General features: G+C 40.3%; 1 protein-coding gene and 1 long non-coding RNA gene across 6 annotated transcripts in view; one reads left to right on the plus strand and one right to left on the minus strand.

Annotated features, from left to right (window-relative positions):
* VLDLR (very low density lipoprotein receptor) overlaps positions 1-6568 on the plus strand; it is a 38270-nt gene extending 31702 nt beyond the window's left edge. For all 4 annotated transcript variants that reach the window (NM_003383.5, NM_001018056.3, NM_001322225.2 and 1 more), the window contains one exon: positions 345-6568. In NM_003383.5, the coding sequence (NP_003374.3) occupies positions 345-380 (36 nt within the window). In that variant the 3' untranslated portion in view covers positions 381-6568. The remainder of the gene's footprint in view (positions 1-344) is intronic.
* LOC105375957 (uncharacterized) overlaps positions 1-12865 on the minus strand; it is a 45278-nt gene that overhangs the window by 4305 nt on the left and 28108 nt on the right. For both annotated transcript variants that reach the window (XR_929436.3, XR_929435.3), the window contains exon 2: positions 11481-11587. This is a non-coding gene — a long non-coding RNA (uncharacterized LOC105375957). The remainder of the gene's footprint in view (positions 1-11480; positions 11588-12865) is intronic.

Raw genomic sequence — 12865 nt, forward strand, 5'->3', positions numbered from 1 at the left:
AACAAGTATTGATCACTCCCCTCTCAAACTCCGGTGAAACATGGAACAGTGGTCAATTCTTGACACACACATGGCTTTTCACATTTTTCCCCAAGACTTATGATCATTAAGTAGAAAAGACAGAATTAGTCACACTATCTTATCTCACTACCAAGCAGGTATAGTTGAATTCAAGTTAAATGCATGAATGATACAACTCAGTATTCTTTTGTATCTGACTGACTTTTCTTCTAAGCACTCTGAGTGTTTGAATGACCAACTCAAAAGCAAGGTCCATTTTAAAGACTAGAGTTGCCATCAGTGAGTGATCACCAAGCTCATTCTATACTTCTTCTTTTCCACAGATATCAGTTGTAAGCACAGATGATGATCTAGCTTGACTTCTGTGACAAATGTTGACCTTTGAGGTCTAAACAAATAATACCCCCGTCGGAATGGTAACCGAGCCAGCAGCTGAAGTCTCTTTTTCTTCCTCTCGGCTGGAAGAACATCAAGATACCTTTGCGTGGATCAAGCTTGTGTACTTGACCGTTTTTATATTACTTTTGTAAATATTCTTGTCCACATTCTACTTCAGCTTTGGATGTGGTTACCGAGTATCTGTAACCCTTGAATTTCTAGACAGTATTGCCACCTCTGGCCAAATATGCACTTTCCCTAGAAAGCCATATTCCAGCAGTGAAACTTGTGCTATAGTGTATACCACCTGTACATACATTGTATAGGCCATCTGTAAATATCCCAGAGAACAATCACTATTCTTAAGCACTTTGAAAATATTTCTATGTAAATTATTGTAAACTTTTTCAATGGTTGGGACAATGGCAATAGGACAAAACGGGTTACTAAGATGAAATTGCCAAAAAAATTTATAAACTAATTTTGTACGTATGAATGATATCTTTGACCTCAATGGAGGTTTGCAAAGACTGAGTGTTCAAACTACTGTACATTTTTTTTCAAGTGCTAAAAAATTAAACCAAGCAGCTTAACCATGGTTTGTGCCTGTTCCTCTAGGATGAACTCCTATCCTGAGTAGTACCAAGTGTTCTAACTAAATGTGTGAGCTGTAGTTCTTGATGTTGTATAACTAAGCCTGTAATTGGGCTGGTTTCTCTTACACCCTAGCACAGTTAAAAAATGAAGTACTGTTTAACATTTGCTCCCGAAATATTTCTTACTGTGTAAAAGAAGCTAGCTTAGTCTGTACCTAGAATTCCTCTTGGTTAGAGGAGTGAGTTTCTTTTTTTTCCATTAACTTGTTTCCTGATCGAGAAACACGTGCTAAGATTTCTATGAATTCTGCTTCTTTATAGTTAAGTCTCTGTTTTCCATGTTCTGTCATTTATATAGGTCAAGGACAAGTGCCTTCTAAGGCATGGATAAGGGCTTTCTTCTTATGAAAGTCTAGACTGTCTTACTGTGAAGATGGCCAGGGAGGATAGCAAGCAATGGCATTCTTGAACAGTCTAAGGCAGGTTTCTCAGTGTGGTCCTGAGAACAGAAGCATCTGCATCACCTGGGAATGTATTAGAAATGCAAGTTCCCAGCCCCATCCCAGACCTACTGAATCAGAAACTCTGGGGGCGAGGGCTGAAACCTGCTTTCATAAGCCCTTCAGGCGATACTGATGTAAACTAAAGCTTAAAAACCACCGTTTTACTGTGACTTCATGAAGAATATAATTGCAATATCACCTAAATTTTTATCCTGGCTGGGATGGGGCAGATTCTTACTATGGACAATTTCTGGAACTTACAGTATGAAGAGCAGATGAGGAGTTTGAGACAAAGAAAAAATTGTACAGGGAGTTTAGTGAATTTTCCATCAGGTTGGCCATTACTTTCTTTCTCTAAAGTCTCAGGATGTCTGGAAGCAAGGAAAGACAAAAGACTTGAAGCACCGGGTGCATGCTGTGTGTCACAAGTGAGGTGGAGAGTTGGCTGTGGAAGGTACAGCAATTCCTCTGGAATTAAATGACCGACCAACACAGTACCAAGAGGATGAAGAGAAGATGTTTTGCGTTGCTACGTGAATCAGTGGATGACTCATATTTCACTTGCATATGAAATATAAGGCAGTTAACATCTTGTTTGTGGCTTAAGCAAGGACATTAATCCTACTAGATGAAGGGGAAGTTGGTTCTGTTGTCTTAAGGGATGCCCCCTTGTGATTTTGGTCAACTGAATGAAAAAGAAAAGATAGCCTTGGACTTTTTTTTCATGGGAGGTTTGGAGGTCAAGCATGTAGAAGGAAAAGGCTGTAGTCATGAATATAGAACTGTCTGCTCTCCACCTTTTCCTCACTCTACATTTAGTCATCACACTGAACAGGATGTGGCCTGCTGACAGTGAGTAGCTGAAGTGCCTGTTTGGTAAGTAGGTTAGCATTCATCATGAACTCTGAAAGCCATTTCAGAGTTTGGCTGCTGCTCTGACCCTGCTGTGGTACAAAAAACATGGATTTTTTTTTTTTTAACTGGAGTAATACCAAATTCCCTTTAGAAGCTTGAAGTTTGATACTATTGCTTTCCCCATTATAAGGATTATACAGTATTAATTAATTATAAGGCCCAAAGTTTGTTTTGGCAAATAAAGTATTATTCTCTATCATCATCTTTTGAATTCCTGTCCCTAGTATGTTCTTTCATGTTCTGGGTAAAATTTCCAACCCTCAAAGAGTCTAAAACGTCTCATTTTTTTTTACCACGTCCTCCCCAGTAAGAAGCCAAGGTACAACTCATTGTACCTACGAGGTACAAACTCATTTGTAGAAACAAAGTAACTAGATATTCCTATTGAAATAAGAATAGATATATTGGTGGGCCAGGCATGGTGGCTCACGCCTATAATCCCAGCACTTTGGAAGGCCAAGGCAGGAGGATCACTTGAGGCCAGGAGTTCGAGACCAGCCTGAGCAACATGGTGAGACCCTGTCTCTACAAAAAAAAAATTTATAAAAATAAAAGAAAAAAATAGTTATATGACTAAACTACTAGTCAATACAGCTTGCAATAATAGTGCATGAATGATAACAGGCCTCGGCTTTATCACCCAAAAAATAACTTGAATTCTATGTGAAATGTGTTAGGATAAGTTTGCTCTGTCTCTAGAGTTCAATGTAGAAGATAATTAAGAGGTAAAATATGAAGCTTATCATACACTAAAGGAGAATATTTGGAGTTAGATGAGCCTGTCACACAAAGTGAAAGTGGACCCTCCAGAAATTTTAGGAATTGCCACAAAGATTGATGATAGATGAATAAACAGATTTGTGGCCTCTGGTAAAGAAATCCAGCCAAGTTCCTCTGTCCAAATTTTTAAGTGCCCTTTGCAAGCTAATCTATTTGGCAAAAAAATAGTCCCAGTTGTTCAACTAGCTCCCTTAAAACATTCTAGTAGGTGTTTTAAAGCCTAGGTATCGCTGCCTCTTTAGTTCTTGATGAATACAAGGCAAAAAAAAAAAAAAAAAAAAAAAAAAAATTGAGGCTTTCACTTTGGCATTTGCTTCTGTTCCTTGTATCTGTGGAAGTCAAGTAGCCCTTCTCAAAAATGAGAAGCCAAGCTTTAAATAGCAAACTACAGGGTATTAAAAGACTAACTCTTCAGTTAAGAACACTGTAGAAATGGTAGACCAACTTAAAGTCTACCTTTTAACAATCTTTACCCCAAACCTAAAGATTCTAGGGGTCACTTATCTCTATTACGTAATCTAACTGGAATAATTTCCTAGAATTCTTACTAGTGAAATCTTACCCAAGTAAAACAATTTATTATTTTGAATCCAAATGAAAGCTATACTGTTTGCTTTCAATGGTGGCAAAAACTTGCAAAAAGCAGATATACTTTTGCTAATTTAAGTTGAAGTACTATGAATACAACCTGCTAATCTTGATCCCCAAATCTGAGCCCTTCAGTTTCATAATTGTTTTATCCTGAACGTAGTTGTGACATAGACATTTCTCAAAAGGGTCTGATACATCAAACTCCTAACAAGTAGGAGCAGCAACTAGCTAAAGAGTAGAAAGAAGCTTCCCTTATTGTGGGTGATGAGGCGGTGCCTAAAAACCACATATATATAATCCCCTGGGTATTACATATTCTGCAAGCCCTGTTAGTGGGGAGATGGTAGTGGCAATAGCAGCGATAGTTGCGTCAGTGCTAACTGCTGCTGCTGCCCGTTCTGTTGGCGGCTGCTGGCCAAGTGTGCACACTTAGCCCTGGTTGAGGTGCATTGTCTGCTGTCGTCTGTTAAGCATCTAACCGGAGTGGGAGGGCACATCAAGCGATTTCACTCTCTTAAAGAAAAGGTTTTTAGGTATTTTTGGTATTATATAGTCTCTAAGGCCAGAAGGGGCTTATAATGACTTCTCTTCTAGAATTGTAATACTAAAAAACTACTCGAGTAAATATCCTAACAAGTATGATTTTTCTTGGGAAAACTAAAAATTGTACATCCATGCTTCAGCCATATCATGGGCCTAAACTATGAGAGTTCAGAAATATATAAAAGTACAAAAATCTTCAAAGGTACTTATTTCCAAATATGGAGGGAATGAATCTGAAGAGGGAACAATGGCGTTTTTCGAACTTATTTCTCTCTAATCCAGCCTGGAGGATTTTTAGCCGAAACAGTTGCATGTGAAGGATTATCAGCCATCTTTGCATATCCCTTTCACATCTACCTTCACACAGGAAAGCTGAATGCATTTTACCAGTGAGGCTCTAGATATGAAACTTAGGGATCCATAGATAAATAAGCTACTAACAAACTGATAACAGTGGTGTTCCATCTCTCTATCATGTCTCCTGAGTCCGTTTCACGTTTTTGAGCCTGGCTAATGAGAAAAAGAACAAAGTAGGACCATGACCCAGTGTTCTCCTGTAAATCTCACTGTAAAAATCTCAATGCAAAAACACTGAGACAGGAGTGAGACCAGCTGCGGGTGGGGAGTTTGTGCTCCGCAGGTTACCTCATGGCATATCAAAAATGGCTTTTTTCTTCACTGCGCTCAAGGAAAAAGTCAGATGGGTGACAAGGTGGTTCTGTTTAGAAGCAGCAGGCAATGTAGTTAACAGCATAGACTTCCGTGTCTTGTGTGTGGTACCTTGGGCAAGTTACTAACTCCCTCTGTAAAGTAGAGACGATGGGGACTGTCTCACTGTGACAAGGTAAGATTTAAGTGAGATGCACACAAAAAGCTCAGCACAGTGTCTGGCATCTAATATGTGCAGGGCAGATGTCACTACTGAATATCACATCAATGCTAGGGCTGTATTTACTGTCACACACAGGCACCGGTAAGTGACTTTACCGGTGAAAGTCACAGGTACCTTTATCTATGATGAATGTAATGTGTTAGATGGTGACCGAAGTGTTCTCCACTACACCTGTCTGAAGAGATCTAAGTCTGATATTTAAGGAGTGATAGCATCTTGCATACTTAAGAAGGCTTAAAAGACTGCATGGTTTAAACCCTAGAAACATAAATGGAATGTTTCTGCCTCAGTTCTTTTGACTACCTCCTAGGACATGGAAACAAATATTTGGGAGCCTGCATAGTCTTTAGATGGCTGCCAAAGCACTTAAAATCTCCTTTAAATTCTTACCATATGCTTACTTTTGTACTAAGTAAGTGCTCCCAAGTCTTTTACTTGCTCTTCACAGCAACCCTAATAGGTATCTCCATTTTACATAGGTAAAAACTGAGGCTACAAACAATCTATGGTTCCAAATCCTATGTGCTTACTGCCGTCTTCTCTTAGAAGGGGATGCAGTACTGTACAAAGATTGAGCTGGATGTCGCATTGCATGTTTGCTGAGTCCTCCTCATTGCTGATGTTAGGATCCTTCAACAGTTTCTCAGATGCCAGCTATGGCTGGCATCCAGTATGGTGGTGTAATGGAAGTGTACTACTAGCACTACTACATCAGGTCAGCACAGATTAACTCAGTTACGTGTTATACCTTCAAGACGCTAGACATTCCAGAATTATTTTCCTTGGCCATCCAAGTGAAGTAGAAGTAGATTGTTGGATTGCAAAGAAAATGATAAAGATTCCCTAAAGGAATTTATAAGCAGGCAACTTCATTCCTATGTATAAGATATTGGGAGAAAACAAACTGTACCACAACAAATCTTAAGTTTCAAGGCTCTCCTATAGGGAGAAACATGGCCAAAAAGACAGGAAGAACTGTGGCTTGTAACTCAATGATGCTATAACTCCAGCACTGGATCTTAAGTATTCTGGAATATACCAGATTGGTAGAACTACCAGACTTGGGTATTTCTCAGTTAACACACATGCAAGGAGGAAGAGAGTTTTTTTGAACAAAATGACTGGCTTTGACAAAACTATCTTGCTCTTTTTAAATGTCACTTGATACTAGAATGCGATTTAAAAGCATGTAATGCCTCAGGAGTCCGGCATATACAACCAAATTATCATGCTCAGGATCTTCAGAATTCTAAAGGCACATGTTAGAATGCAGAGTCCTGATGACCTGTCAATAAACTTTTTTTTACTAATGAACTGTACATTTAAATAAAAGTTTATTTTTGGGATAATTGTGAGCCTTTCCTTTCTCTAGAGACCTTTTATAAAAGCTTTTACTCAAATCTTTTTCCTTTTCTCAACTGAATCACTGAAGATGACTCAGTCACCCCTTTCTAGGAACAAGTAGGGCCACCCAGGTCTGGACACTTCAGGCTGAAAAACTGAGAGATGGTCCCTTTCTTGCCATATTTAGTACAGTTAGTGCCTCACCATGGACAGCCAGTATATTATCCTCTCAAATTTCCCCTCTCTACCCTTCCCATGAAAAAGACAGAAGTCAAAGCTACTGTTACTTAGTTAGGAATGTTAGCCTAGCACTTCCTTCTTGTAGGTGACTGAGAACAGGCCACACCTGGCTAAAGGGGGGCATATCCCAGGGCGGCAGGACAGGAAAGGACATTACAAGTAAAATCATTTTGATGCTGTCTCCTCGTTAGTTCTTAGATGGTCTGTGTTGAAATTCGTTTATAAGGCTAAAACTTTTGTGAGTCGTAGATATATTCCACCTAAAACTTTTCTAAGCAATGGCCCCAGTTGTTCGAATTAGTTGGGCACTAAACCTTGAAATTGACTCAGAGGATCCAAAAGAGTAGGAGAAAAATAAGTAAATCGAAGGAAAGAGAAACAGTCAAAAAAATATTTTAAAGCTCAACAGTGAGTCTGTAATAAGTGAGATATTGCATTTTGTTTGAGATGTTGATCTCACCAGCTTTGCAGTGAGGTGGATACAAGTTTGGATGTTTTTCCACTACTTAATCAGCTGTGGCCACAAGTAAGTTGCTTACCATCCAAGCTTATGTCCTCTTCTGAAAATCACAACACCTACTTTCATAGTTCTCATAAAAGAGAGAGGCAACACGTGTAAAGTGCTTCATTCAAACAACAGCTCTTTCCCTCTCTAGCACCAAAAAATAAATAAATAAATAAATCATGATTCATCTTTTTTAAAGTAAAAATCCTTATGTCTATTCGGAGATCTGATTTTGATCTGTACTCTTGTATTAAAATTCCATTTGCAAGTATTCCTTGTTAAATCTCCCCTTGAAATGCTAGCATTTGGTGATCTTTTTTTACTCAAAAAAATTAAAATGATTAATCATGCTGCACCTATTAGGTTTGCAGAAAGCCTCGTGTGTGACCCTCTGCTGATTAAAGAACACGGATGATTGGTTTAAGTTCACCAATTATTCAGAAATGTATTTTTAATTAGTGGGGGTAAGAAGACAGACTATACCTCATACCACTCCAGAAGATATAGCACACTCTTTGGATTTATCAAACTCAGCAAATATGATTGGCCCGCAATCTAGGAAATGTGAAATGCTAGATTTTAGGCATGAACATTTAATGTTATAGTGTTCAATTCAGAGGCATTTCTTGCCTACTGGTTTTGAGGGCAGAGAGTATATTTTATACCCTTAGTCATTGTTTATGTTGTCTTAAATTTACTCACTTACATGTGAGATTTGCTGATTTGTTCTTTAAAGATTTGTCCTTTAAAGTTTCAGGGAAATTTGCCTTTTGACCTGACCCCAAACAAGTAGCCCTGTGGTTTGCTAAGCAGGACTTCTAAATGCTGGAAGATAATTTTAAATAACTAGATAGCAACTGGCATTCCTCCTCAGACCTCAAGGGACTTAAAGTAACAGTTTCTAAAAGGTTCCAGAACAGTTTTATAATTGGCACATCCTAGAAGAAACATCAGTTACGGGGAAGCACACACATTTCTTAAACTTTTAACAAAATTGAGGAAGGATATATGGATCAGCCACATCAGAAGGTATCCCTCCTTATAGCCGCACATAGACATCCCCTATATGTGCTGTCTTTACTTCATTCATTTGTTTAGTGCCTGCTATGTACCAGGTATTGTTCTGGATTCTGGGGAACCAGAGAGAACATGAGAGGCCAGAGCCCCATCCTTCATGGTGCTCATTCTAGCTGGGAGTTAGGCACTGAACAGACATTTATATGTTAGGCAGTGATAAAATCTATAAAGATAAACAAAACAGAGTAAGGGACTAGAGAATAGCAGAATGTGCTATTTTAGATAAAGTGGTCAGGGAAGCTCTCCAAAGAGAGGATTTAGCAGACAACCTGGTGGAAATGTGTTATGAGCCCACTGAGGCATAGTAAAGACTGAAGCCATGAATAATGAATAATGAATCCTGAGGCATGAGCATGCCTGATTCCTCTAAGAAGAAGCAAGGTGGCCTTGGTAGCAGGAGGTGGCAGAGGCAGAGTGGGAGGAGAGAAAGGAAGAGGACCAAGTGATGTCAATTTCAAGAGCTGTGGTTGGGACTCAGTTTTTTTTTAAGTGACAGAACTTTTTTAGTGGGCTTGGGGCGATAGAATGACATCCAGTTTTAAAAGGCTCACACTGGCTGCTTTGTCTGGAATGGGCGGCTGGGAGGCAAGGGTGAAAACGGAGATATATTAGAAGACTCTGGTAGTGGTCCTGGTAGATGGACACGATGTGAGCTAAGCCAGTGGGGATGAAAGAAAGCTCTACTCCAGATTCGGTCCATCACAGGGGGTGTGTGCACAGGCTATCTCCCCAGAGTACGGGGAATTCAGCCTGTAGATGGTCCCTTAATCCAGGAGAATCTCACCAGTTCCTAGCTCAGCTGTGCCCTCTGCCTGTGGGATATCTGTTTGGCTGCCTCCCTGATTGGGCAGGGATGATAGGCTCAACACCAGGAAGGCTGGAAGAAAACAAGGCTGCGTGGAACGCAGGAGAAAAGCCATGCCTCTCCTCTCTAACCAAAAGAATTCAGGATTCAGAAGAAAAGAAGAGCCCAGAGCACGAATTCCAGCCCCCGAAAAGTTCAAAGGCTTCAACCATTCAAAGGAAGTTCTTTTCTACCTTCAGTGTAAAGGCCTTCCAAGGGACATATTTTGGCAGCATCATTTTAATATGGAGTTCCATACTAGCTCTTGAGTAATGGTCTCTGGAGGAATGTTTGTATGAATGGCATCATTTTTAAAAAATATGATGGCTTTAGGCAGGGTCCAGCATATCCTATCTATCCAACTGCTTTATATTTTCCCTGTTACCTGTCTGGTCTCTAAAAATATTGGAGAACTATCAAAACTACTTTCCCTAAGACATTTTAGAATCCTGGTATTTCTGAGTTAAAAGGAACCCAAAGGTCATTGAGTCTCTGATAGTTGTCTGATACAGGAGGCAACAGGCCCCATTGAGGAAGCAGAAAGTGGCCACCTAACATTACCAGGAAGGAGACCTCATTCAGCAATGTCTTAAGTCACCCACAGAGTAAGAATTGCTCTCATAGTAAGCCTGTAAATTCAACAATAACTTGTGACTCTTTAAGATAAAAAAAACAAACAAACAAAAACAAAACAAAAAAAAACAGGAATGGATGCTGTTTGGGAAAACAAAGCCTCCTAAAGCCAAAACTTTCAGGAAAGGATTCTTTGTATGTTAGGAAGTAAGGTGAGTCTCTGAAATGCATCCATGCATGTCACAGAAGCCAAATAGTAACAAACAGCTTATGAAACAGAAAGCAGCCTCTTCCCAGACATTAGCCCCAGTGCCTATTTCCATTCAGAAAACAAGGCCAACCTCCCATATGTCAGGATCCACTAACCTCCGGGGAGGACTATGCTGAGAACAGAGACTACGTGCCATTCTCCCTCTCTTCTCCCTCCCCTGCAGCAGGCAATGTGTTCCCAGTACTCTGTGAACTGTCTCTATTATGAGACAGATAATATTTCAGTGGGCCTACTTAATATTTTTAGTTCACCAAAAGTGGCACGCCGGTCTGTATGCAACTTCCAGTCTCTCAGAAATCCAGCGAAATGGGGGTGGAAAAAGATTATCTAAAACCAAAACCAACTGTAGCTTCTTTTGCCTTGGTAGGAGGGCTAGGGATGCCCCTGGGAAGGGAAATTTCTCTATAGCTACAAGGGAAGGAAAATCTGGATCTGCCAAAGGAGGTCCTGAGCCAAGTTTGGAAAGTAGGCTACAGATGGCTGCATTGCTCTGTATTCTGCAGAGAGAAAAGTCAAGTCAGGGATGAGGAAGTAGCTGTGAAGCAGCAGGGTGGAAAAGAGGGCAGAGGCACACGGTGTGCCGTGGAAATTTGGAGCTCAAGGTGACAAACAAGAATATCCAATATGCAATTTTGGATGGCTTACATTTTTGGCACTGTAAGCCCTATCACCTCCCTGATCCTTCAGTAATGTCTGTGGCACACACTAACACGTTGTGGGAGTGGCTTTTGATGAAAATCATAGATAGGAGCCCAGTCCTAGACCTGGGTTGATATGGCAACAGAACAGAGAAGGAACTTTCAGAACAATTTGTTAACTGAACGAATTAAGTCACTGAAGAGCTTAGAGTCAGAAAACATAAGCAACCCAGGGACTCTTAGAACTCTGGCTGGGACACTGGACTTTCTGCAGGATGTGGAATGGAAGTTCAACCCTGTATTATCTGGATATTCAAGGGCAGAATGACTCCAGATGATGTCACAAGCTATTAAATGTGTTAGATGGGATCAGGTGGCTTTTAAATACTATACACCCAGCATTTTGCTAGTCAGGATACAGAACTAAGTATAGCAATGGCTTGTAGGATCTTGGAATATCTTGAACTATGGAATCATCTTTCCAAAGTGTGAATATGACCATGTCACTCCCTATCTAAGATGACTTCTTGATGCCTACAGAATGAAGGCCAAGGTCCCTAGATTCAGGCTCAAGATCACCATGGCCTGACCCTGGAGCCTGCTGCTCAGCCCCGCTATGCCCTGCAGTTCCCCAGCCCAACTCAGTAATGCCCAACTCTTTGCAACCACTCCCCTCTCCCCTTCTCCTTTACTGCTGTTTCCTGTACAAGGCTGTGCCTTTGCTCCTCCTCTTCCCTCTGCCTGAAGTGCCCTTCTGGCCTTTACTTACCCGGCTCTTATTCTTCCAGGTCTGGGCTCAGATGTCTCTTCTTCCAGGAAGCCATTCCTGTTGTCCCAGTTTGGGTCATGAGTCTCTTGTATATCCAGCATATAATTCTACAATAACATGTATAACATCAGGTTGAGATTATGTATATGTATATAACTTCTTGACTGAATGAAACACAAGCTTCTTTTATATAAGAATTTAGTCTTTGCAATCTTTGTGCCTTGAGTACGTAGCACAAAGTTGAATGCTTTTTAAGTGCTCAAATACTGGATTGTAAAACTAAATTGATCCCATGATTGCAAACCATAGATTATTTTGTAAATAAGCATCCCAGTATTTAGGCCTCCAAGTAACCACTGTCTCTTGAAAGAAGTTTTCGTAAGAGGTTGTTTGCCTATCCCGGTGATTTCCTACTCAGCACACAAGTTACAGGTCCTATTGTGGATTTATATTCAGGGAGCACAAAGCTGATTTTTGCATACATATTGTTATAAAAAAAAAAAACCCTTACATCTTTGAAGGTAGACTTAAGATTTTGAAACAGCAAAATCGTTGCACTTTCCATCAGGGAACATAGTAATTGTCATGCTGGTTAATGCCCTTTTGAGACCCTCCATAGCTGTCCTAATGAGGAAGTCCTACAGATCGTATGTAGAGCTAATAACATTGATATGGTTTGGCTGTTTCTCTACCCAAATCTCATCTTGTAGCTCCCATAATTCCCATGTGTTGTGGGAGGGACCAGGTGGAAGATAATTGAATCACGAGGGTGGGTCTTTCCCATGCTGTTCTCCCGATTGTGAATAAGTCTCACGAGATCTGATAGTTTTAAAAACAGGAGTTTCCATGCACAATCTCTTTTTGCTTGCCACCATCTGTGTAAGATGTGACTTGCTCCTTCTTGCCTCCCGGCATAATTGTGAGGCCTCCCCAGCCATGTGGAGCTGTAAGTCAATTAAACCTCTTTTTCTTCCCAGTCTTGAGTATGTATTTATCAGCAGCATGAAAACAGACTAATAGAGCAAATTGGTACCAGTAGAGTGAGGTGCTGCTGAAAAAATACCAGAAAATGTGGAAGTGAATTTGGAGCTGGGTAGCAGGCAGAGTTTGGAACCATTTGGAGGGCTCAGAAGAAGATAGGAAAATGTGGGAGAGTTTGGAACTTCCTAGAGACTTGTTGAATGGCTTTGACCAAAATGTTGATAGTGATACGGACAGTGAAATCCAGGTTGAGGTGGTCTCAGACAGAGATGAGGAACTTCTTGGGAACTAGAGTAAAGGTGACTCTTGCCATATTTCAGCAAATACACTGGTGGCATTTTGCCCTGCCCAAGAGATTTGTGGAACTTTGAACTTGTTTCTTGAGGAATCATTACTCTGATAGA

Source organism: Homo sapiens, chromosome 9 (genome assembly GCF_000001405.40).
Source record: "Homo sapiens chromosome 9, GRCh38.p14 Primary Assembly".
Lineage (NCBI taxonomy): Eukaryota > Metazoa > Chordata > Mammalia > Primates > Hominidae > Homo > Homo sapiens.